The sequence below is a fragment of the Homo sapiens genome, chromosome 1, assembly GCF_000001405.40.
Source record: "Homo sapiens chromosome 1, GRCh38.p14 Primary Assembly".
Classification (NCBI taxonomy): Eukaryota; Metazoa; Chordata; class Mammalia; order Primates; family Hominidae; genus Homo; species Homo sapiens.
Genome location: NC_000001.11, coordinates 110764044 through 110789481, shown reverse-complemented (window position 1 = coordinate 110789481; position 25438 = coordinate 110764044). Strand labels below are relative to the sequence as shown.

General features: G+C 42.4%; 1 long non-coding RNA gene across 1 annotated transcript, besides 1 other annotated feature; it reads left to right on the top strand.

The window, feature by feature from the left end:
- Nucleotides 1589–1928: an enhancer, noted in NCBI's record as "active region_1475". NCBI's record gives its function as "activates an Ori minimal core promoter by ATAC-STARR-seq in GM12878 lymphoblastoid cells {active_cell/tissue: GM12878}" and the evidence as "EXISTENCE:reporter gene assay evidence [ECO:0000049][PMID:35858748]".
- Nucleotides 15138–24954, top strand: LOC105378901 (uncharacterized). Its single transcript, XR_001737801.2, has 3 exons — nt 15138–15293; nt 22022–22142; nt 24725–24954. It is a non-coding gene; the product is annotated as an uncharacterized LOC105378901 (long non-coding RNA).
- The last annotated feature ends 484 nt before the right edge of the window (nt 24955–25438 follow it).

Genomic DNA, 25438 nt, shown 5'->3' with positions numbered 1-25438 from the left:
GCATATACTAGATGGTTTTCAAAAATCCATTCAGCCAGTCTGTTTTTTCTAAGTGGGGAGTTTAAGCCATTTATATATTTAAGGTTATAACTGATTGGTAAGACCTGCTGTCATTTTGTTAATTGTTTTCTAGTTGTTTCGTATATCTGTTGTCCCTTTCTCCCTCTCTTATTGTTTAATCATTGCAGTTTGGTAGTTTTCTGTAGTAATAAGGCTTATTTCTTCTCTGTTTTTCATTTGTGTGTCTATTAGTGATTTTATACTTTCGCATGTCTTCGTAATGATGATTATCATTTTTCACTTCCAGATATAGGAGTCCCTTGAGTATGTCTCATAAGATCAGTCTGGTGGTAATGAATTTCCTTTGTTTTTGCTTGTCTGGGAAAGACTTTATTTCTTTTTCCTTTTTTTTCTTTTTTTGAGATGAGGTCTCGCTATGTTGTTTAGGCTGATCTGAACTCCTAGGCTCAATCAATCTTCCCAACTCATCCTCCTGAGTAGTTGAGACTGCAGGCATATGTCACCAAATCTGGCTCTCCCTTATTTCTGAAGAATAGCTTTACTGGGTATAGTATTCTTGGCTGCCTTTTTTTTCTTCTTTCAGTACTTTGAATATGTCATTCCATTCTCTCCTGGCCTGTAAGATTTCTGAGGATAAATCTGCTGTTAGTCTAATGGGGATTCTTTATACGTGACTTGATGTTTTCTTTTGTTATTTTTAAAATTCTTTCTTTGTGGGTGCTTGAAGTCCTCCTACTTTCAATTTTCCCACAGAGTCTCATGAACTTATTGTGGCATCTGGGTCTTGAGGTGCAGGTTCACTGTTTATGGCAGGGTTGGATGTAATTTGCCTGCAGAGCCAGGATCTGTGACTCTGAGGAAACCCCTAGAAGCTTGGACCCAGAGAGTTTGGTTTTAGCTGTGAGTCTACCCCTGTGTGGAGGGTATATCCAACTCCAGGGAAGAAAAGGAGCTCTGGAGTTTAGGGTACAGAGAGCAAGGTATATCTGCAATTTGGGAACCTGGTCCAATGGAGCTCAGTGGAAACTTGGGTCCCTGGGGATGAGACAACATGTAGTGGTGACTCCGGGATGGCGGACTCAGTAGTATCCCAGACTCTGTGAGGCTAGGTGCAGCAGCAAGTTTTCATAGTGGTCAAACACATCTGTCGTTTGGGCCCTGGGGGTCAGGGGAGCAGCACAGTGACGATTGCATTCCCTGGAGAGAGGGCTTTCTTGGCAGCTCAGACTCCAGGAGACTAGTCTAATGCCAGGAAAGCAAGGTATTAGAGTAGGTTAGCCTGTAGGGTAGAGTGTCTCAGCTCAGTCACTGCCATGTTTCCCTGGAACATGGGGTACTACGTCAGCTCAGCCCTGAGCTGCTCAGGTTCCAGGGCACCAATTCCCCAGGGGTTTGTGTGCCACTTCAGCTCAGGCTCAGGCATAGAGGGTGGCTGTTCTGGGCTGCCAGGCACTATTTCCCTGAGACGTGGGGCTCTGCCAAGGCACTGTTTCCTCAAGAGGCAGCACATAGTTTCAGTTCAGGACCTTAGGGGCAGGGCACAGCCATAACCGAGAGAAGTAGATGGGGCTATTCTGCTAAAGCACTGTTTTCTTAGGAGGAAGTGTGCAGCTTCAGCTCCAGCTGAAGGGGGAGAGAGGAGGTGTAGGTGGTGCTGTTCAGCCCCATGGGCAAAGGTGTAACAGTTCCTTGAAGCTTGGCTTTGGGATGTTAGGCCACTGGGCAGGGATGGATCAAAGGTGGTTTAGCCTCAGGGATGGACAAGAGCCATGGCTACTCTCCCTTGGAGCAAGACACTCCAGCAGTAGTTCCAGTTCCGAAATGGGGTAAGACAGTAGCTATGCAGGCCACAGGGGATGGGGCCTAGTGGCAGCTCCTTCTCTGGGGGGAACACAGATTTGCAGACTCCAGGCAGCTCCCTCAGCTGGACTTAGTGCATGTGAGGACTTCAGGGGGACCCCAGTGATGAGAAGTGTAGGTGTCCAAAGAGTTGATGGCAGTTACTGGGATCCTCTTGTCTACCTTTGCACCATAAAAAGAGGTTCCTCCTGGTTTCTAGCTGATTCTGGTTGGGAGGTGGGGTGGTGAAGACCAGGTGTTTCCTTTTGCTCTCTGTGTGGTCAACCTCAGTTTCCGTGTTCACTGGGGTTTCTATTACTCCTTTGCCATACTCAGCCACTCTTCTTTAGTTGTTTTTATTAAAACATGATTGTTTGTGTGTTATTTGGCTATCTTTGTTGGAAAAATGAGCGCTAGAAGCTTTTAGTTGGCCATCCTGCTGACATCATTCTCCTCCAATTCTCTCTTGATCAGTCTACAAACCCATCTATTTAATTCTAAATTTGATTAGCTATATTTTTCATTTCTAAAATTTAGATTTGTTTCTTTTTCGATTTACTGACTCCTTTCCTACAATGTCCTCCTCTTGCTTTGTGAAGTTACCTTTCTCTTTCTCTTTGAGCTTATCTGACTTAAAGACTCTCCTTTTTTATTTTCTACTAACTGCAGCTGTTTGTATGTGCACTCTACCACTCCCTCTCTAATCAGTTTGTTTCCTTATGTGACTTGCAATATTTTTAAATCATGAGCTCCTCTTGAAAGAGAGTTGTTTTCCATGGAAGACCCTCAGGTCCTGGTACCTGGGAACAATCTTGTGGGGCAGTTTCAAATTCCTTTGCTGCGATTCTGTGAATTTCACTGGTTCCAGAGGAATTTTACAATGTATCTTGACTCTAGATTTCTATACTTGTGTGGTGTGCAATTTAGAGATCATGTATGCTGAACCAGCTTGAGGGGTTAATTTCCTTGCATTAATTTTTTCTATCTTCTCATGAGCCTATCAAGCTGCTTTGTGGTATCTCTGAGCTGTGAAACAGAGGAATTTCATAGTTTCCTTCATAAACCAGTAACTTCCAACTGTATATGGCTGGTTCATTTCCAGCTCTTTAACATGCAGAGGCCCTGGGTCTCATCAACCATCTCTCTGTTGCCATTAAAATCTCATCACCCTGACATCGAGTACCCTGAATGTACTCAACTTTGGCTCCATGCTCCCTTAAGTTTTGTGATCCTTCTTTATTTCTGGCACCTGAGAATGTTGCCTTCTTTCTTTACACAAGGCTCATATTTTAGGTAAAATTTTATTCTTAATTACTTTATCTGTTTTTGTGAAAAGGGAATTATACATGTCAATGCAAATCACTCTATTGTACACAAATTCCAGATATACCTTTACAAAATGCAAAACTTATCATATTGTTCTCCTACTTAATATTCTCAATGTTGTTTCATTGGCCTTAAGATAAAGTCCAAAGTCCCTTACCTAGGAAATAGTAGAGCAAAGCAGCTTAGAGCATGGCTTCAAGAGTTAGGATGATCTCAGTTTGTATCCATGTATGATTTCTCAACTATGTGACTTTGGACTAGTTAATGTCTTAGCCAGTTTTGTCATCTGTAAAACAGAGATAATTCTAGCACCTACTTCATACAGTCACTGTAAACTCTAAATGAGACAAGGTTGTGATCAGTCTGCAAGAGTGGAATGAACTTCCACTCCAAATTTGGTTCAGATTGATGATGCCAAACATGCACCAAAGGGTACGAAATGGTCCATGACTCATATAATAAGGCTTTCTGGGGAGAGCAGAGCAGGTCCAAGCAGGCCCAAAAATGGCTTGAGAAAGCAGGAAAAAGATACGTGGCTTGGCTTTATTGTGGTTTGGTATGAGGGTTCAGACTTGTAATTAAAGACAACACACATAAAACACACAGCATGGTGCCCACCATCATAGGCAATAAATGTTGGTTATCACAATAATATTGTTATCATGATTTAGAAGAATTTTCATGACCTTTGTAATGTCATTTTTCCCTATTACCCTCCTCATTCTACCCTCCAGCCATACTTCAGTTTTCTTGGATTCTTCAAGATAACATGGTCTCAGTGTCTATCATCTTGGTTTCTTTATCTGCAAGAACTTCCATTCCACCCTTTTACTTAGCTAGTTCTCAATCTCTCTTTAGGTTTTAACTTAAGTAGAATTTCTTTCAAGAGGTCTTTCCTGACTCCTCAACAAGTTTACACTCCCACCTCTGCTCTTACACACGCACACACACACACATTGTAATTCGTTTATTTGTACTTTTTCCAACTGTTTTGAAGGCTTTATGGCGACTGAATCTCTCAGACCTGGCACAGTGTCCAGCACATAGTAGATGCTCAATAAACATTTGTTGAATGATGCAGTATCTCATTTAATCCTCTTAATGCTGTAAGTCAGGTATTATTCACTTTGCCAATGGAAAAATATAAGCTCAGAGAAGTTGAATAATAACTGAGTGCCACACAGATATTAAATAATATATCAAAAAATAAGCCCAGATTTTCTAACCCTTCCCTTCATTAAACAGCATGTTTTCCATCTCTCTTTGTTGTTGTTGTTGTTGTTGTTTTTCTGGTTTGTTTATTTGTTTGTTTGTTTTGAGACAGGGTCTTATTCTGTCACCCACACTGGAGTGCAGTGGCATGATCACAACTCTCTGCAGCCGCAGCCTCCCAGGCATAAGCTATCCTCCCACCTTAGCCTCCTGAGTAGCTGGGACTATAGATGCATGTCACCTTGCCCAGCCAATTTTTTAAATTTTTTGTAGAGATGGGGTCTGTCTTCTGTCTCTTACTGCATCCATTATAATTAAGGTAGACGAAGTAGAAATAAAGTGGATTCCCACCTAAATAGTGGGAATTGAGAGAAACAGGAAGGCTTCTTATCAACTTGCTCCCTCATCAAGAACTGATACCAACATTTTAGCTTAGAAGTTTATCCATTAGTTTACATTAACCTACATGAATGCCCCTTGGTAAGGAGAATACAAAGATTACTCCCAGTTATCAAAGTTTCCAAATTTTATTTATTCATCTCTTCAGATTGACTCCCCAAACCCTGAAAACTCTTGCTCCAACCCACCTGTTCAGCTGTCCCCAACCAGTCTATCCCTTGTCCTGCATTGCTCACTGCCCCTTCACACTTCTGTGCATTTGTCCTTACCCTTCACTCTGCCTAGTGGTTTATTTTTATTTTTATTTTTTTGATGGAGTCTCACTCTGTCACACCAGGCTGGCATGATCTCAGCTCACTGCAACCTCCGCCTCCCAGGTTAAGCTATTCTCGTGTCTCAGCCTCCCAAGTAACTGGGACTACAGGCACAAGCCACCACACCTGGCTAATATTTTTGTATTTTTAGTAGAGACGGGGTTTCGCCATGTAGGCCAGCCTGGTCTCCACCTCCTGACCTCAGGTGATCTGCCCGCCTCAGCCTCCCAAAGTGCTGGGATTACAGGTGTGAGCCACTGTGCCTGGCTCTGCCTGGTATTTTTTTTCTGCTTTCTTCATCTAGAAAAACAACTCGTGATTCAAGAAGACAGCCTCTATTTAACCTCTATTAAATCTCCACAAAAATAATGCATACCCAGGAACCTGAGACCTCTACAAAACAAGGCAATGATGCTCAGCATCATGGTTACTGCCCAGTTAGGGCTGCTCCTTTCAAAACCATGGATGGATTCCACCATTTACTTTGTAGCCTGAATTTAACAATCAAAAAACCCCAAAACTCTCTGTCCCAGGCTCTGAATCTCTTATACAGCCAGTTTCCTTTCCTCTGTGTCACCTAGAAGAATATCTTAACCATTCGCAGAGAAAGCAGCAATGAATGGACATACCAAGGCAATAATAAAAATGGACTTGTAACCAACACAATTTTATTCCTGGAGAATCATCCTCACCGTGTGTCACAGCTGGATAACTTGTGCTTAGGAAGGGGTTCTTCCCTGGAAAAAGGAGGAAGATGCAAATCCTATGAGCAACTGGGATCCCATCTTTGTGTTGGTCACCAGTCTTTCACTCTCAGGTTTTTACCTGTGATGATCAAAAGGGAAAAGCTCCTGCACTTCCCCGTATACACCACATGAGGGCGACAGAGTCAAACCAGACCAAGCAGCAGCAGGAAAAGGGCAGTGATGAAGGTGAACCCTGCTTGAGGCTGGCAGTTCTGTAGTCTCATTCACATTGCTCTGTTCTTTCCTTATCTTCCAGGACTTGGGCAACGTGTCCTCCACACTGAGTCTGGGCTAGAAATACCTCTCTCTAGGTTGGGATTTTCCCATAAAATAATGAGGTATTGTCTGTTTGTTCCTATAAGGTTTTCTAGGAGAAAAGCAGAAAAGGCCTAACTTCCCTCTAAGATTGTCTGGAGTAATAGATCTAGATATGTGTATGCTCTCCAGTCTCCTTTCCGACTCTAACAAAGGCTCTGGCAGTATGGCACAGTGGTCAGGAGCCCAGGTCAGGAGCCGGATACCCTGGGTTCAAATTCCAGCTCTATCACCTACTGGCTGGGTGACCTTGGGAGAGTTACTTAACCCATCTATGCCTCAGTTTCTTCTGCGAAGTGGCTGTGATCGTAGTACTTACCTCATAAGGGAGCTCTGAGGTCTAAAGGCACTCAGCTCAATAGTTGGTAAGGACACAAAATTTGTCTGCATGATTATGACTTTCTCCCCCCCAAAAAGTAATTCAAATATCAGAATCCTATCAATGGTCCCCTGGTGGAGAACTGCTGGTCCAGGACAGGCATCCTGAGGATTTTTTTATTCCTCTTCTCTTATTCCTTCTCTTCCTTCTGACCCAGAAAAACGCCATAGCATGGAGGTTAAGAAACTGGACATTGAAGACAAACACACATTATCTGAAGTAAAATACTTGTTCCATTCTCGGTGTGACCTGGAAAAGCAATTTAATCTTTAGTGCCTCAATTTCCTTATCTGTGAAATGGGGAGATTATGATAACAATTATGCCTCATAGGTATATTGTGACTATTACATGAGATAGTGCATGGAAAGCTCTGATAATAGTGCTTGGCATATTGTAATTGCTCATTAAATGTTAGCTATTATTGCTATTCATCCTACATTCCACAAGCATTTACTATGCACCAACCAAGCACAAAGAACTCTTAGACACCGGTCACTATTAAAACAATCCCTATTCTTAAGGAGGTTAAGAGCTTCCAAGTTAAGATTTGCCAAGCCTTGATTCACCTTGTGGAAGCCACGGTTACTATGACCTTGTTTGGAAAGACAGGCACTCAGACAGGTCCATCTCAGATGATCCTTTCCTTGCAGAATCTGTTTCAGAAAGGCCACTCCGCCTTGGACCTCTTCCTTTGTGGGATCCAGGAATCCTATGGTTTCCTCAGGCAGTTCTGGCCTCTAACTCTAATTACCTCTCTGTACCCAGGCTCTCTGACTCTACTGACCTACTGTTTTGTGTCAGGAGAAATAGTAGAAACAGGATACGAGAGTAGTTTCGAGGTGTTATAGCTCAAATGCTAGATCTTCTGCTTCTATCTAGTAAGCTGTTTAACCTCTCTGAGCCTGTTTCCTCATCAGTAAAATGGAGTAGAACATTACCTACCTCATAAGGCCGCTGTAAGCATTAAAGGAGTAAGCATATGACAGTAGGTTAGAGTATTGCCTGGCAGGAAGAAAGCACACAGAAGAATTTGCTATTATGGATATATTTTTTCAATTGACAAGTAAAAATTATATGTATCTGTTATGCGCAATGTATCTTGATATATGAATACATTGTGTAATGGCTAAATCAAGCCATTTAACATGTCCATTGTCTCACATACTTATGTTTATGTGATGAGAACATTTCAAATCTACTGTCTCAGCAATTTTTAAGTATACAATATATTATTATTAATTTCAGTCACTGTGATGTACAATAGACCTCTTAAACTTGTTCCTTCTAACTAAAGTTTTGTGTTTGTTTACCAAAATCTCCTGTAATAATAGTTATGGTTATTAACTTCAAAGCGAGTCAACATAGCATGGACTCTACCTGACCTACCTGCAGAAGTCCTCCCACAAGTGTGGCTAATGATCCTGTTCTTTCAATTCACCAGTACTCTTCTCTGACACAGTTTGACAAGGCCTAGTCCTAGGGGACAGCAGAAGAGAAATATCGAGGACCAAGGGGCTGGAGGAAGGTAGAAAGAAGTGGCCACATAAACTCCATTAGCAGAAACATTCAGCTCTTTCCAGCCCCGTGGGACCTCAGGAGCTAGATGGAACCATTTCTTTAGGGAAAGCTGGCAGTTGTTTACACAACCGCAAGCTGAGCGTCCAGGTGACCAGTCCAGCGTTTTCTCCCCACCACCTCCCTGCACACTTCTCTTTTTCCTCTTTGCAGAAAGTCAGTGGGAACAAGACCCTTTCCTAGAGGATTTCAAGAGCCCAGCTCAGATTTGGGGCTTATGTCTCTGATGCTTACGTCTCTGATGCTCTTGGAACCAGGCCAAGAAGACGTGGTCATTTCTACCTCTTACCACCAGAGGGCAGCGCTTCACCACAGAGACCCTTGAGCCGCCAAACACCTCACCGTGTGCGTGGAGAATCCTCCCCAAGGCCTGGACGCAGTTCTTCCTATTCCGTTTCCCCGAGGTTTGGCCTAGGATCTTGGACAGCACTTTATAATTACAGACATTCTGCCTGCTTAGGCCTCTCACCCCAGTCTGTGCCCCCGCAGGTGTTCAGACATTTCTGTTGCCTGATGAGGAGAAAATGGGCTGAGGGAAGGGGGCGGAGGAACAGCGCCATCGGCCGGGCAGGACCCAGGCTGGATTCACTCCCGTCGCCCCTGCGAATTGGGCGTGAGCATTTGATACAAAGGACGGGGAAGGAAAGCGACCCAAGGTGAGGGGCTGCTCCTCTCTGCAGCGCTAGAGCTTCACGTTTTAGACCTCCTCAAAGCCTGCGCTCAAGCTGAGGGCCCGCTTCACGGAGGATTTCGTTGTAGAATTTGGGACAGTCCTTCATTCGCTGGCATAAAGTGGCATAATTCCTAAAATCGCATCCCCACGTGCCCAGTCCTCCTCATGTAGTGTAGCTTTTAAGTCATGTTGATCATGGGAACAAAGATCAGAGTGGAGTTTGGGATGGAAGGTCAAGGAGTCTTTGTATTCCAGGGCCTCTGAAGGGGTTTCCTAGGTGGGGTTATCTATGGCGGTGCAGAGAAGGCCCAGAGTGGTCCCCGCACAGCTGACATCACTTTCTGGCCTCATCACTGTTACTACAGACCTTGTAAGACAACACCATTACCCCTGGCAGGTGCAGGGTGAAGAGTGTCGGGCTAGGACACAGGAGCCTAGGTTCTAGCTCCAGAGCTGCCCTTGCCTGGCAGCGCTATTCTGGGGACCTTACAAAGCCTGTCTGGGCTTTGGTTTCTCAGATTTGAAAGTAATGGCTCCTGTCAAACGGCAGCCCCTAATGGGAAGGGTTTTTTTGTTTGTTTGTTTGTTTTTAAACAAAACCTGGAATTTGTACCATTTCTAAATGCTAGCTGCTCAAGCCTTAGGAAGGTATATGAATGAAGAGTGGGGAACAGAGATTGGCTGAATGGAAGCTATCTGCCAAGGTCATGGAAAGAGTGTGAAATGTCAGATTAGTCTGATTCTGCTCTCCGCTCTCAGACACACACACACTTCCCATTCACAGAGTTTAATTAGTTTCTGCTGGCACAGAAATGTAGCACATCTGGAATGTTGTAGACTGCTCTGCGTTTAGTATATTATTAACCTGCTATGCAATCACTCTTGTGATCACCTTCAGCAAGGTAGGAAATCTCTGGCAGGCACTCTCAAGGGCAGTGACTTCAACACATTCATGCCTACCCCACCCTCAACACATTTTTGGGTCATTTGTTTCCCCACACGGCCATGGGCAAATCTCTTACCCTCTGTGGCCATCATGTGTAAAGAATTTTTTTTTTTTTTTAGACAGAGTCTTGCTCTGTCACCCAGGCTGGAGTGCAGTGGTGTGATCTTAGCTCACTGCAACCTCTGCCTCCTGGGCTCAAGCAATTCTCCTGCCTCAGCCTCCCAAGTAGCTGGGACTACAGGCACCCGCCACCACTCCCAGCTAATTTTTGTATTTTTAGTAGAGATGGGGTTTCACCATTTTGGCCAGGCTGGTCTTGAGCTCCTGACCTTGTGATCTGCCCCCCTCGGCCTCCCAAAGTGCTGGGATTACAGGCGTGAGCCACCATGACCAGCCTGTTTAAAGCATTTTTAAATTGGGAACCGGAATAAAGTTCTGTTCTTCTCCCTTGAGATCAGGGAGCACTTCTCCCTTGCTTCTTCTCTTGCTACTCTCTCCCTTCTCCTTTTTCCTTCCTTCCACATCCCCAGAAGCATGATTCTATACTCCAGCCATTCTGAACTTCTTGTTTTCCCTAGCATAGCCAGTCTTTCTTGCCCTCAGTACATACAGTACCCTCTGCTTTGAATTCCTTTTCTTAAAACCTGTATTTTCCAACTAACTCCTACTCATCTTTCAGGACTCAGCTCTGACATCACCTTCTCGAGGAGGCTTCCCTTCCCTCTCTCAACCTTACTTCCCAGTTTGGATATTTCTTCTCAGTGCACCCAAAGCACCTGTACTTCTCCATCATAGACTGTGATTGTCTAACCAAGTTCTCTCTCTCTTTGGACCATTGGCCTTTATTCATTTGTGCACCTCCAATGCCAAGCACAGGGCTCTGGTCTCCATCACACTGTCTTTCCTGCTGGGTTCATGTTTTAGTATCGAATTACATGCTCCTCACCCAAATCCTGCTCTTGATGTCAAGTAGAAAGTCATGGCTGTGCTCTTAGATACTCCAGCTTCTGTGGCAAGACTGTGCTCCTGAGAAGCAAGGTTTTTAGTCTCCATCCCAAAAGCTGGAGGTATTTGTAAATCAGTTCTGTGAGCACCAGAAATTTCCCAAGAAGAGGAAAACCACATCCATGTTATAGGACTAGATAGTGTGCAGGGAGATTTCCTGTGCCCTTTAACACGCCAGACTAGCCTCAGATAAGATTATCTTTATTGATAGATTAGGAAATTGAGGCCCCAGGAGGGACTGACTCAGGGTTTCAGAGACAAGAAGTAGCAAAACTGTGACTAGAAATCAGGCAGCTTCGGTTCCTGGCCTTCAAGCCAGGGAGAATATTGCTTCCTCACTTTTCCCCCCACCTCCTGCCTACCTCTTCAGATGACAGTATGCACATTGTGCCTACTGAAGCCCCAGGAGGAGTCACAAAGCAGACAGCTCTGCAAGGGCCTGCCCTCTGTGGACTCGGGGAAGAACACTGTGTACTCTTCCCCTCTCCATCTCAGCAATGCATCAATCCCAGACTTGGAAAAATCAGTGTTGGCGAGGACAGGAGAAAGATATGCTCAGATACATTTGTCATTTGAGGTGCCTTCAGACATACTCACCCAGTAGCAGCCCTTTTAGCCTCTGTTCCCCATCAGAGCCACGTACCCAAACCAGAGCAACTGCTATGAGTAGGGCTGAATGTGGACATTGGAATGGCAGAATGCCAGGGTCAGAGGGATCTTAGAGGATCCTATCCAACTCCCCACTGCACAATTGAGGAGTCTGAGGCCAGGAGGTGAGTAACTGCTCAAGATTACGCAGCTGGGTGGTGACAGGGCCAGAACATGAATTCAGGTCATGGGATGCCATTCCCATCCCCTCAACTCTGGCTCACAGTATGCAGGTATAACTCAGTGCCAGAAGGACTCCTTTCTTTCCCCTACACCATCGTGCCCAGCGCACCTCTATCAGAGTTCAGTGCTTTCAGGGAAGAAGTGAAGAATAGTGGTTTAGAACACACACTTAGGGTCAGGTGGATCTGAAAGTGTGAACTGTTCTTACAAAAAAATTACTTGTCTGTTTGCAGTTTATCTGTGAAAAATCACACCATGTGCCAAGGACTGTTTTAATTACATGCATTAACATCTAAAATCATTAAAACTCATGCCACTGGTGCTATTGCCTATAGTAACTTTAGGCACAGAGAGGTTCAGAAACTCGCCCAAGGTCATACACTCAGGAAGGGGCAGCAGCGGGCAGTGAACCCAGGTGGTGCAACTCTAGAGCCCGTGCTTTAACTACTGTGCTGTTGTGTGGCACACCAAGATCCCTGCACTCCTACTCACCCAATCTGGCAAACACAAGTGCCTGCTTGCAGATGACAACACAGATCATCATGCCTACTCAGCTGCTTGCCAGACAGTTGGTCAGGGTCTCCCATTGCTGGTCAGTGGGTAGAGAGAAAAGGAAAGCCATGAGTCAATTTGGCTTCTCTAAGGCGCCACAGACTGTGTTGCTGTGTTCCTCCATAAATGTAAATTTACAACACATCCTTTTATCACAGTCTGGTTTGCTTTAGGCTGCCTTATTTCTGAAGCTGAAGGACACAGTGGTATTTGGACACATCCAGGAAAGGCCTGGCAAATGGTGACTGCTTTTGACCCCAAAGAATCCCACAGTAATTTGGCTCCACAGTGAAAAGTGACCCAGGCTGGGTACTCTCAAACATCCCTCCACCCAGCATATTAATTATTCATAATGTCCTTAAATACTCTTCTGTGATGAAATGTTAAGTGACACATTAAATATTCATCATGATGCATCTAACACAGGGCCAAGGGTAGAATTAAGCAGAACAAATGTGATTTCTGATTATATCTCTTTAATTCTAGGCACTGAACACCCCCAGGCAGCTAGGACTCCCATCCTATTCTGAAAGGAAGCCAAGAAAGTAGATTCCACAACATCCCTTTATGTGCTGCCAAACTGTCTTTAAAATCTTGGCAAGAAGTCCTTTCCTTTCCTTTTCTTTATTTTTTTAACTTTTAAAAATTAAAGTATAATTTATATGCATATATATATGCACCCACATAACCAACACCTAGATCAAGATATAGAACATTTCTAGCAGCCCAGAAGTTTCCCTCATGCTTCTTCTCAGTCAATACCCACCTCCCTGTGCACACACGTGTGCGCACACACACACATCACTATTTGACAGGAAGTTGCTTTTAAATCTAACTTAATCCTTATTTGTGATTGCTGTTCACTTCCTATCATTTTAACTTTGAAGGCAAAGGCCAGGTAGGCCATTGATTTGAAGCTTACTAAAGTGGAAGGATGGAGTATAGGGATGGAGTATAGGAGGCTTTTGGAGGAGTCCAGGCAGAGACGATGATGGCTTGGTCTGGAACCACTGGGGTGAAGCTGGAAAGAAGGAGAGACTTGTTGGGGATGTATTTGAGAGGTAGAGGTAATAGGATTTGAAATGTGACATGAAGGAAAGGAAGGAATCCGGCATGACCTGTAGGTTTTCACTTGAATGTCTTGATGTAGGGGTTACCATTTGTTGGGAAAGGCAAGACGGTGGAGGGGCAGGTTTGAGGGCAGGGTGAGATCAAGAGTTATGTTCGGACTTGTGGACTTGAAATAACTGTTAGGCATCCAAGTGTAGAGTCCAAGTCATCCAGAGATCAAGGAGCTAGCAGGCCTGGAGAGAGATGTATATTTGGGAATCATCTGCCTATCGATGGGTTTTAATGCCTGGAAATGGCATGGAATCACCCAGGACATACAGAGCAAAGAACAAGATCCAAGACAGTCCTGTGCAGACCCACTGCTGAAGCAGTCTGCCTCAATCCTCAAGCCAAAGGGGTGGTTCCACAATCAAACTAGAGGCAGGTGCCTAGGGTAAGAATTGAAGCCATGCTTTCAACATTTTAAAAGTCTTGTTTTGTTAATAAAAACAATCAGGCAGACATGTGGATATTTTACTCTAGCTGGAGTTAGCTACCTGTATAATTTTTAAATATCTGTACATGTGTCTCCATTTTTCTTCTATTTTCTTTCAAATATTTTGGTGTTTACAACCAGGCCCACTTTCTCATCTCGACATGGATTATGGCAGGTGCTTGAGAAGTTTCTGGAGGAGATGTCCAACACAGAAATGAGTTTCATTTTTATATAATTAGTAGAAACATAAGATACAGAAAATTGTGCTGTTCACAGAATTTGATTGGAAGGGCTATGTGATCGAGGGCAATTTACTTAACTCTCTAAGCCATCGTGGCCCAATAGAGCTTTCTGAAAATGTTCTAGATCTGCACTGTCCAACGTGGCAGCCAGTAGTCATGAGTCTATTGATAACTTGAAATGTGACTGTTACTCAGAAACTAACTTTGTATTTTTTTTTTTTCCTGAGATGAAGTCTTGCTCTGTCACTGAGGCTGGAGTGCAATGGCGCAATCTCGGCTCACTGCAACCTCCGCCTCCCAGGTTCAAGCAATTCTCCTGCCTCAGCCTCCCTAGTAGCTGGGATTACAGGCACCCGCCACAGTTTCTGGCTAATTTTTGTATTTTTTAGTAGAGACATAGTTTCACCATGTTGGTCAGGCTGGTCTGGAACTCCTGACCTCAGGTGATCCACCCACCTCTGCCTCCCAAAGTGCTGAGATTACAGGCATGAGCCACCACGCCTGGCCACTTTTTAATTTTAATTAAATCAAATTTAAATAGCCGCATGTGGCCAGTAGCTGTTGTATTGAATAGAGCAATTCTAGGTCTTTATGCTCAACTATAAAATAAAGTGTTCATGCTAGAATCAATCTCTAAGCTTCCTGACATAGTTCCCAGTGCAGTGGCACATATTAGGCACTCAATAAATATTTGTTGAATAGATGTTTGTAGAATGAAAGTTAGCCAAATGAATAAAGATGTGAACAAATGATTAATGTGTCATCATGGACTATCATAAATAGAATTAATTTAGGATAACTTCTTGGAAAACCAAGAGTTTTGGAGGCTGAAAAGAAACTCTGGCACTGGCTGCAAGTGGGTGGGAACTCTTGGCAGTCATTCATGTGGGAACAGAACCAGGTAGAATCCAGATCACACTTGCCTTTCCACTTCCTCTATACTTGGAAAAGCAGCTTCCTCTTTGGGAGTATTTTCATAACCCAAGTCTCCCAGTGGGAAGGACTCTCAGTGCTGGAACTACAGGATGGGAAGAATGTCAGGAAAGAGGGAACAATTGTTAGGAAGCCACAGTGATGGCTGCCAACACTTGCATTCCTATGTGCAGGAAAGACTTCCTTCAGACACAGCTCAAAATAGCCACTGCCCCCAAATTTGCTGGTTAAAATAAGTCGGTAAGTCACAACCACCCATCTTGGCTTTGACTCTCTCTTCATTTCTGTCCTGAGGAGTCTCTCCCTTGTCAACATGGATTATGGCAGATGCCTGAAAAGTTTCCAGAGGGGCTGGCCAACACAGGAGGCAGGGTCCCTGTAGCTAGAAGACCCAGCTGAAAAATTTGCCTTCGACGGAAACATGAACATGATAGGCGGGTGAGAGTAGGGGCATCGTGTATTGGTCTCTGTCTCCTCCATGAAGGAGCACTGCATCTCCACCACACACAGTTCTGCTCAGAACCAAAGCTGGCAAGCTTAGCTAGGCTTTCTCTTTGTCTCTCTCTCTCTCTCTCTTTCTCTCTCTCTCTCTCCTCTCTCCTCTCTCTCCTATCTCTCCTCTCTCTCCTCTCTCTCCTATCTCTCCTCTCTCCTCTCTTTCTCCCTTTCCTCTCTCTCTCTCCTCTCTCCTCTCTTCTCTCTCACCTCTCTCTCTTCTCTCTCTCCTCTCTCTCTCTTCTCTCTCCTCTCTTCTCTCTCACCTCTCTCTCTTCTCTCTCTCCTCTCTCTCTCTTCTCTCTCACCTCTCTCTCTTCTCTCTCTCCTCTCTCTCTCTTCTCTCTCTCTCTTCCTCTAATCTATGAACTTTTGTTTTTTTTGGTGGGAGGGGGTGATTCTTTATTGTGGTAAAATGTACATAGCAAAATTTACCATTTTAATAATTCTTGAGGGTACAATTCCATGGCATTACCTACATTTACAATGTTTTACAAGCATCACCACTATCCATCTCCAGAACTTTTTCATGGTTCCAGACTGAAACTGTGTACACATGAAACACTAACTCACCATTGCCCACTCCCCCAGCCCCTGGTAACCACCATTCTATTTTCTGTCTCTGTAAATTTCATTACTCTAGGTACTTCATATAAATGGAATCATAAAACACTTATCTTTTTATGATTGGCTTATTTCACTTAGCATAATATCTCTAAGCGTCATCCATGTTATAGCATATGTCAGAATTTTCTTCATTTTAAGGCTGAATAATATATTCTATTGTATGTTATGCCACATGTTGCTCATCCACATTTGGGTTGCTTCCACTTTTTAGCTATTGTGAATAATGCTGCCGTGAACATGGGTGTACAAGTATCTGTTTGAGCTCCTGCTTTTAATTCTTTGGGGTATAGGCATAGAAGTGAAATTGCTGGATCATATGGTAATTCTATGTTTAACCATTTGAGGAAATGCTTTTATTTTTAAAGCCATTCCTAAATTCGTTTTTTATCCTTTAGTTCTTGAATTTTATTTCTAATTCTCAACTCCTATCTGTATGTATGCTTTCAGCATTTCATATCCTAGGTCTTACCTTTTCATCTAAAAGCTCAATTTCTTATTTCTTTTTACTTTTTAAAACAACTAATGAGTACTAGGCTTAATACCTGGGTGATGAAATAATCTGCACGACAAACCCCCATGACACAAGCTTACCTCTGTAACAAACATGCACTTGTACCCCTGAACTTAAAATAGAAGTTAAAAAAAAAACTGTAGCTGCTAGTCTTTTATTTTAAAACTCATCTATGTTACCTAATCTCACATGTGTTTCTTTAATCTATAAGCTTTTTGCTTCATTTTTAAACCATCTCCAACGAGTCCTTTTTATTTCAGTAGTTTATTTTTTTAACCTAAACATTGATATAGTTGACTTCTTGTATCTGTGATGTGTCTTCCACGAATCTGTCATATTTCTGAGAGTTATAAATGTTTCTCTTCTGGAGTGCTTTATAAGGGGCATTGGGAAGGTTATACTGAATGGGGGAGGAGGAAGACAGTGTGATGGGGGTTTGTCGTGGATCAGGTTCCCTGGGAAACAGACTCTGAGACAGATTTGCATTCAGAAGGTTTTTGGGGGAGGGCATTCAGAACACCTGCAAGGAAGTGAGAGAAGCAGGACAGGGTGGAGGGAGAAGTCAACTGGGATGCAGTTGAAACAAAAGCCTTAGTCCCCCAGGGAGCTCTGAAACTGGGATGGCCTTTCAGAGATACATATCCCAAATTGAGGCTGGGGGCTGGGCCTTTATTCATTAGAAACTTGCATGTACCAGGCAGCTTAATCTTGGGTAAGGAAGTTCCTTCCCTGGAGGGTAATGCTGGGGGAGGACTCTGTGTACACTGTCACTAGGTGAAGCTCCTAGGGTGGGGCTGGGTGAGCTTAGGGAGCACCGCAGAATCCACCACAGGTTCTCAAAAGAAAACATACTGTATTCCAGGGAGGTAGGGCCCCATACTCCAACTCAGTGAGGGCCAGTCAGTCTGGGGGAGTGTATTAAAATTATCTGGGCAGAAAATTTGATAGGCCTCTCCCTGCCAAGCGTGCATAGTTTGAAGAGGTAAATCTGATCTTTCTACCCCAGCACCCCTTCCCAAAGTGGAGAACCACTAGCCTAGGCCAAACTGACAATACCTCAACTTCTTATAAATGGCTTCTACAAGGGTTGAGTCTATTTACAGGCCTGGCCCCACTCCTTTGGCCCAAGGTACAGTATGTCCACCCAGTTCCTGGAAATGGGATCTCTTCAGAGTAGCCACATGAGGAAATATGGCCAACTGAAGTCCTGCCAAAAAAAAAAAAGTGCTCTTTCCCTATGACAAGTCCTATGTAGGAGTGGATCCAGGTTTTGAGAAGCCTAAAGATTTAGAAGACCCTTTAATAAAAATAATATAAAATTATGAATATAAAATTGGCAGGCATTGCCCAGGGCCTTGGAAGGAGCCTGTGCAAGACAGGACCCTCACAGTCTCAGGGATGGACACTTGGCTGGGAGGGAGAATTTGACCCGGAGCTTACATTCACCATCTGTTAAACTACCCTCTCATTTCAGAGAGTCTAAGGAATTCTTCCTTGGCTAAGTCACCAGTAAGTCTTGCCTCAAGGCAGGTGACCTCACCTGGACACTGTAAAGATACCTCATTTCCAGAAACTGGTTGGACATACCCTACTTAGACCAAAAGAATGAGGCCAGGCAGGTCTGGGACATGATTTCTAACTGGGTGCACGGGATAAGTTATATAATGATAAAATTAGTAATAATAATAATAGGTAACAATTATTAAACATTTAGCATGCACCAGCCTGGGTTCTGAGTACTTTATATGAATGACCACATGTAATCCTCATAAGCACACACGTCAGTATAATGATAATTTTATTGCCATTTTACAGATGAGGGAATTAGGGTACAGATAATTTAAATAACCTGCCTGGAGTGTCACAACAAGGAAGCAGGGCAGGCAAGAGGCAAACACAGGCTCTGACTCCAGAGTGTTTGCCCTGTGAATCCCCATGTTATGCAGCTCTACCTGAAGGCCAGGGCAATGTTTGTCCTCACTTGAAACAGGGCTGACTGAGGCTCTACAGGAGGGATGTTGTCATTAGATTTTCTGAGGGTTTTAAGGTTCGTTGCTGAAGGATTTTAAATGCTCAAGTCAAGAAAAGCAACTGAAACCACTCAAGGGCTACTTAAAAAGGCAGAATCTGTACTGTTAGTGTATGAACTCCAATTGGATCTAGAATATAATCTAAAGCATACTTAAAAATAAAGAGTTGAAAAGGTCAGCCCATTGTTCTTCTCAAACTAATGTGCCTGTGGACACCCTTCACTTTAGAACTTTCTTTTATCACAGGTTTAGACCATTTATTTTTTGGCTGTCAAGAAAAAAAAAATGTATTAACAGTGGATGAGCCCCCCTCATCTCAGCTGGCTTCTGCTCACAGCATGGGGAACTGTTCTTCTGGCCTTGACTGATTTTCCTGACAGCATGAAGACTCTGTTTTACCCTTCACACTACCCTGTCTGCTCAGACACACAATTTGATGATAATTGGTATTTATTTTCCAGGTTCAAATAACATCGCTGGAGATCTAAACACTAGGATTGGCAGGAATTCCATGAGCTCTTGTTTCAAGCTTTTAGGGAATGAGTGGATTCCCATAGACAATTCTTTCACAGATAGATTGATTAACCTAAATGGAAAAAAAGATATTGCCAGCCTTACTTTCCTCAGAATACAGCGGTAATAAACAGCAGTACATGGAATAAATCTCAGGAGAACTTGACTTGCGTTTCTACCTAAATTGTCTACTTTATATTCTGGTTAGCCACTTTTGCCATGGTCTGAGCAAAAAATATACATTTTCTCCATTACTTATCTTTGCATAGCTTCTCTGGAGCCCATCTGGCCTTATGATTATGCTGAGGAAGTTAAGGGACTGATAACAAATGTGCCAGTTTTTCTTTTTTTAGCTCTATTTGAGCTGTTACTATCAAAGATCCTTTTAAACCTTGAATGCCTCAAAGGACAGGTTTGTCCTCTTATCTCCTCTGAATGAATTGCCATTACCTTAAAATGATTTTATTCACACGCTGCTCTAGCAAATACAGGATTTACTCTCCTGGTGCCTTGCTTGACAGAGAAGAAACATGTAAAGCAGAAACAAGAAGAGGCCATGCAGGAATTTTCAAATGCATTTATCATAGACTTCTGATTGCCCCCCCACCAAAAAAAAAAACCTCTGAAAGCCATAGGAGAGAATCAAGTGTGCCTGTGTATACTCTATGGATAGGAATTGGTGATGAGAAAAGTTATATAATCTTGATATTGACCCCGATTGTTGATGCTTATGCAGAACACACCTTTGACTGACCAAAGAATTGAGAAGTTAGAATGTAATTTTGATGATTCTATTAGCATAATCCAAGTCAGGCAAGATAAACAGGGATGTGTTTAGAACTTTATTAAAAATTGTAAATGACTTGACAACCCTGGTGTAACGCACACATTCCCATTACAAAAATGAGCATGCAAAGCATTCTCTTATGTTTAAATGGTGAAAAGATGCTCAACATCAATAATCATTACAAAAATGCAAATCAAAGCCTCAATGAGATACCACATCACAACCATTGGGATAGTTACTACCAAAATTAAAACAAAACAGAAAATAACAAGCGTCGATGAGGATGGGAAGAAGTTGGAACGCTTGTTCTCTGTTGGTGGGAATGTAAAATGGTGAGTCTTCTATGGAAAACAGTATGACAGTTCCTCAAAATATAAAAAATAGAAATACCTATGATCCAGCAATTCCACTTCTGTGTATATATATATATAGAAGAATCAAAATCAGAGACCCAAACAGAAATGCGTACATTCAGGTTCACAGCAATGTTATACACAGTTGTCAAAAGGTGGAAGCAATCCAAGTGTCCATTGATGGATGAATGAATAAACAAAATGTAGTATACAGCTACAATAGAATATTATTCAGCTTTAAAAAGGAAGAAAATCCTGACATATGCTACAACATGGATGAACGTTGAAGGCATGCTAAGTGAAGTAAGACAGTCACAAAAAGACAAAAGCTGCATGATTCCACTTATATGAGGTACTTCAACTTATATGAGGTATTTATGGTCAAGTTCACGGAGACAAAAAGTAGAAAAATAGTTGCCGGGGGTAGGAGAAATGGGAATTGAGAGTTATTGCTGAATGGGCACAGAGTTTCAGTTTTGCAAGATGGAAAGTTCTGGAGAGGGTGATGATTGCACAACAATGTGAATGTACTTAATACTCCTAAACTATACACTTAAAGATGCTTAAGATTGTAAATTTTGTGTTACATGTATTTTACCACAATTAACAATTTTTAAATGGCATTACTGTCCTGAATTAGAAATAGCCTTAAAAGATTATTGTTCTCCTTATCTAATTATAGATATAATTATAGACTTACAAAAGAGACGTAGCTCACCTGTTCTGTAACAAAAGTCACTGGTTTTGACAGAAATCCTCTAACATTTGACTGCATCTGATTAACCATATGTGGCAAGTTAATTCTTCCATTGCTGATGCATATATGCAACAATCAGTTAACCTTGAAGGACGCACCAAAAAAGGGTTAATTGCTCAAGGTTAAGTGTTATGTGAATGTCCTACTGAGAATTGTTAGGGCTGAGGTTAGAGTTTTACCTGCTTTGTTTTTCTCCTGCTAAATTTATTGTGGCCATGCTCAATGGCATTGAGTCTTTGATCACCAATCAGTGGTTCAATTGGAACCCTAACTGCGTCTTGTTAGGAGTGTGGGGGTGCTGTGGCTATCCCCACAAATGTTCCCTTGGCTCATTTTCTACCTAATGTAGAGCAGCCTTCTTTTGACATACACATCTGGGAAGGCTACTCACTTTCACGACGAGATGCCACTGCTGCCTCCAGCATGGTTTACTGTCTAACTGGTCCAGAAGACATTTCTCAGAGAAGGTGATATTTAAGCTGAACCTTGAAGAAAGGGCAGAAGTTTGCCAAGAAAACCAAAGGAAAAGGGCACTTCAGGCAAAAGGAAGAAATTGACAGAAGACATTGAATGTTGAAAGTGCTTCAAATATTTAAAAAGACCAAGTGATCCACTGTGGTTGAACAAAAAAAGAGAGGTCAGTTTGGCCAGTACAGATTCAGTCTGTATAAAAGTTCTTGAGGAGTACACCATCCCTAAGAGCTTCACTCTGCTTCATTCCTTCACTGGCCCCTACGTACCTCCCTTAGTCTGAGAGAGAGATTGTGTATATGGACTTCTGAGGGCTGGAAGGCTTTTAGAGAGAAATGTCTTGGTCTTTAGGTGATATATAAAGAAAGCGATCCTTACTCCATCCAGGACTGTCCACAGACATGGGCAGAAGTGAACATAGAAAGCCTGCTGTTCTATTTTTAGTCCAGATGGAACCCCAAAGGTCACCTAGTCCACCAACTCCTTACTCAAGCATTAAGCTCCCTGGGGTCTGGGTGAAATAGAACTGAGAGGGCTGGGCTCAAGCAAGTGGGTAGGTGCAGGTGTGGTATGACATGTTTGATCCTGAAATGCTCTCTTTCCCAAAAAACTCTCTCCTCAGCCTTACAGAGCATATGCCACTCTTTTTGGCATATGAGAAGCTCATTGTAGCAGGCACTCCCGGAATGTGATAAGAATAGTGGAGGTGAAGTTAGGCGTCATAAAGAACTCTGAAAGCCAAGGTAAGAAGTCTGGATACTCTCTATGCTAAAATTTGGTGGAACTCACTGCAGGTTTTTGAGGAGGGGAGAAACTTCCACCTCTCAAATGGATGCTGAGGATCTTAAAGACATGGTAGAGATGCCAGTGTTCAGGGACCTCCTTTAATATTTGGACTGTCTCTAATATTAGCAAGTTGTTTAACCCCTTTGGGCCTCATTTTTCTCATCTGTACAAAAGTTAACATAAGTAAAGTGCTAAGAACAGTACCTGGCATATAGTACGCTCTGTAAAATTGTCGTTGTTGTCATTACTGTTAAACCGAGGCTGGGAGATATCAGAACAAAGGCAACTCAACAGCCCTCATGGTTTTATGGGGACTTGTCACTGTAGGGAGACCTCTTGCTTTAGCGAGAAGAGGACAGGGATTTTGGTGACGTTGGAACAGCACTCTACTCCAGATTTTTTCTCCTCTCAGAGACTCTTCAGTTTTTTTCTTGGGCTCAGGCTCTAGGCTAGATGCCTCTAGGCTTAAGATCCAATGTGTGTTGTCTGAAAGTCAGGCCTGGGCTGAGTTGAGACAGCATCACTTTAATGTCTCTGTTATGTGTCCACTCACTGGAGAAGGGAAGCTCATCTTGTAGTTTGAGTCCTGCGGCAGGAAAGAGATTATTTCACCCATCCAGCAAGAGGCTGACAGTCCCCTACAGATATTTCTCAAGGAAAAAGAATTTCCATGGGATTCTCCAACAGCCTCCAGAATCTCAACTGCACCTCTCTGTTTCAAGGAACTGAAGCCTAATCTCAGCCAAATTAAAAAGAGAAAACATCTTTCCCAGGATCTTGGAAAGAAGTTATATAATTTTGATAATAAAATGAATTTTCATTAACATAACCCTTTCCCTAAACAATATTTAGTTTGAGGAAAGTATAGTCAAGACGCAAAACTGGGTGCTGAAAAGGATGTCTTACTGCAGCAACTTGGTCACTCTTTCATCTCATAAAAGCAGCAATAAAAGGGTATTGTGAAGTTGATATCATTACACCATTGTTTAGATGAGGAAACAACAGTTCAGTGATGGAGCTGAGATCCAGTGCCTGAATAATTTCCTACTTACCAGCATGTGGCGCTGTTGCCATTACCTCCTGCTGGAAGATCTCTTTTTTACTTCTATGATACTAACTTTCTCCGTTTTTTGTTTTTGTTTTTTTTTCTCTCTCAAATTAACTGATTATTCTCAGCTCTCTGCATTGTCTTGTTTCCAACTGCCTATCCCTCAGAGGCTGCCGAATCCCAAGGGGTCTATCTCAGATGTCTAAAATTCGTCTTCTCCCTTTTCTACTTTAGATTTTTTAAAAATCAAACACATAATTTTAAAAGACAAATAGTGCTATAATGTTTACAACTGAATAGAGCCGTCCCAGTCTCACATCAACCTGTCCCAACACTGGTCCTTGCCCACAAGAGGCAGAGCTGTTGTGTAAGGCTGGGCAGGTTGTGCAAAGCTCAACTTTGGTTGGGGAGGCACCATTCAAATACTCTATAATGGGAATACTGCCCTGGGGGGTTGTGCATTGCACAACTCTCACCATCATATTCAGTAGCCTAGCCAAGTTGTCACCACTTTCAATTCTCTTGGCTATTTGGTCTAGTATTTATCTTCATGATTCTAAATAATAAGCTTGTGCAGCTTTCATTTGATTCCCCAGTATCAGTGAGGTATTGGCTTCCTAATGGATGATTACTTAGCTCTCTCAAACTCGCTCCAATCCCTTCTTGTGACTTCTCTTTTATCCTCTCTAGATAGTAACATCACAATTTTGTTTGATCAATATTTAAAGTTTACCTTATTAAGACCATGTAAACACTATTTATTGCTGAATCAAGTAGTATGCTATCTTTTAATATGTTGTCTTTTATTTCTCCCATCCCTATATCTTTTTTTATTTGTATAAATTTAGTGGGTACAGTGCAGTTTTGTTACATTGATATTTTGCATAGTGGTGAAGACTAAGCTTTTAGTGTAAACACTATTATTATGGCTGCCTTCTTGTTCAGCTTTAGTTTTTTCGTATGGTTAATACTTGCTTTCCTTTTTTTTTCACTTCCTTAATACTTTTAGTTAAGATTAGCCTAAAGCTGCCTCCTTGTAAATTTGGCTTAAAGGTTTCTTCGTACTTAGTAAACTGTAACCTAACTGGATGTTTGAACAGACTATAAACTATATTTGTAATCAATCACCAAGTTTCAGCCAATCACAGATGGTCAGCCATTCAAATGCTGTTCAAATAAGGCAAATGCTGAGCTGTAACCAGTCCTACTGTTACTGTACGTTACTGTACCTCACTTCCATTCTCAATATGTTACTTTCCCTTTTCTGTCCATAATCCTGTCCAACCACAGGACAGTGCCCAGCATGTATAAACCTATTCAGGAGGCTGCCAGCTTCACAAATTATCCTTGGCTCAGGTAAACTCTATTAAATTTAATTTGTCTAAATTTTTTTTAACAGTAGTCTGTGTACCAGTGCCTGGCTCAGACTTCTCTTTTCCTCTAACAGCTTCTCAAACACAGTCTCCTATATACCACATTTATTTTTCCTAGAGACTTCTCTCCTGAGCCTTTCAGCTTCCTGCTCTGTGGACCAGTTACTCTCCAGGCCAATGGAGAATCCCCTTTGCCACCAGCCTGGGCATTCCCTTCACCTCTCTCCTGTGTTGGAGCTGTTCCTTCCTGGCGTTCGTGCGCTCTCTCTCTCCTGGTGTGGTGGAGCATATTGTCGAGTAGCTTCTTAAGACACGATACTTGGAAGTAAGTTTGTTGAAATTTTTGTACGTTTGAAATATATTTATCCTGGCTGGTCCAAATGCAGTGGTTACAACTAACTGATCACAACCAGTTACAGATTTCTTTGTTTCTTCTCCACTCCTACTGCTTCACTGGACTAGCCTGGGGGAAAAAAAAAAAAAACAACTTTTCAAAGTTTCTTAATAAAAAAGAAGAAAAGAAAAAAATAATAAAATATATGTATCTTATCACTACGCATCTTGATAGTTTAGCTAATTGTCTATTCCTAGACTGGAAATACTATTTCTTTATAATCCTGAATGTAGTTCTCCACTGTCTTCTGTCTTCCAAGGTAGTTGCTAGTTACTAAACTTTTGTATGTGACCTTTTTTTACTCTCTGGAAGATCTTTATATTACTTCTTTGTTCCTGGTGTACTGAATTTCCTAAGGATGTATCTTGGTACAGTTTATTTTAGGGGAATGTTTTTTGGGCTTTTACTCTAAATGCTTATGTAGTTTGGTTTTCCAAA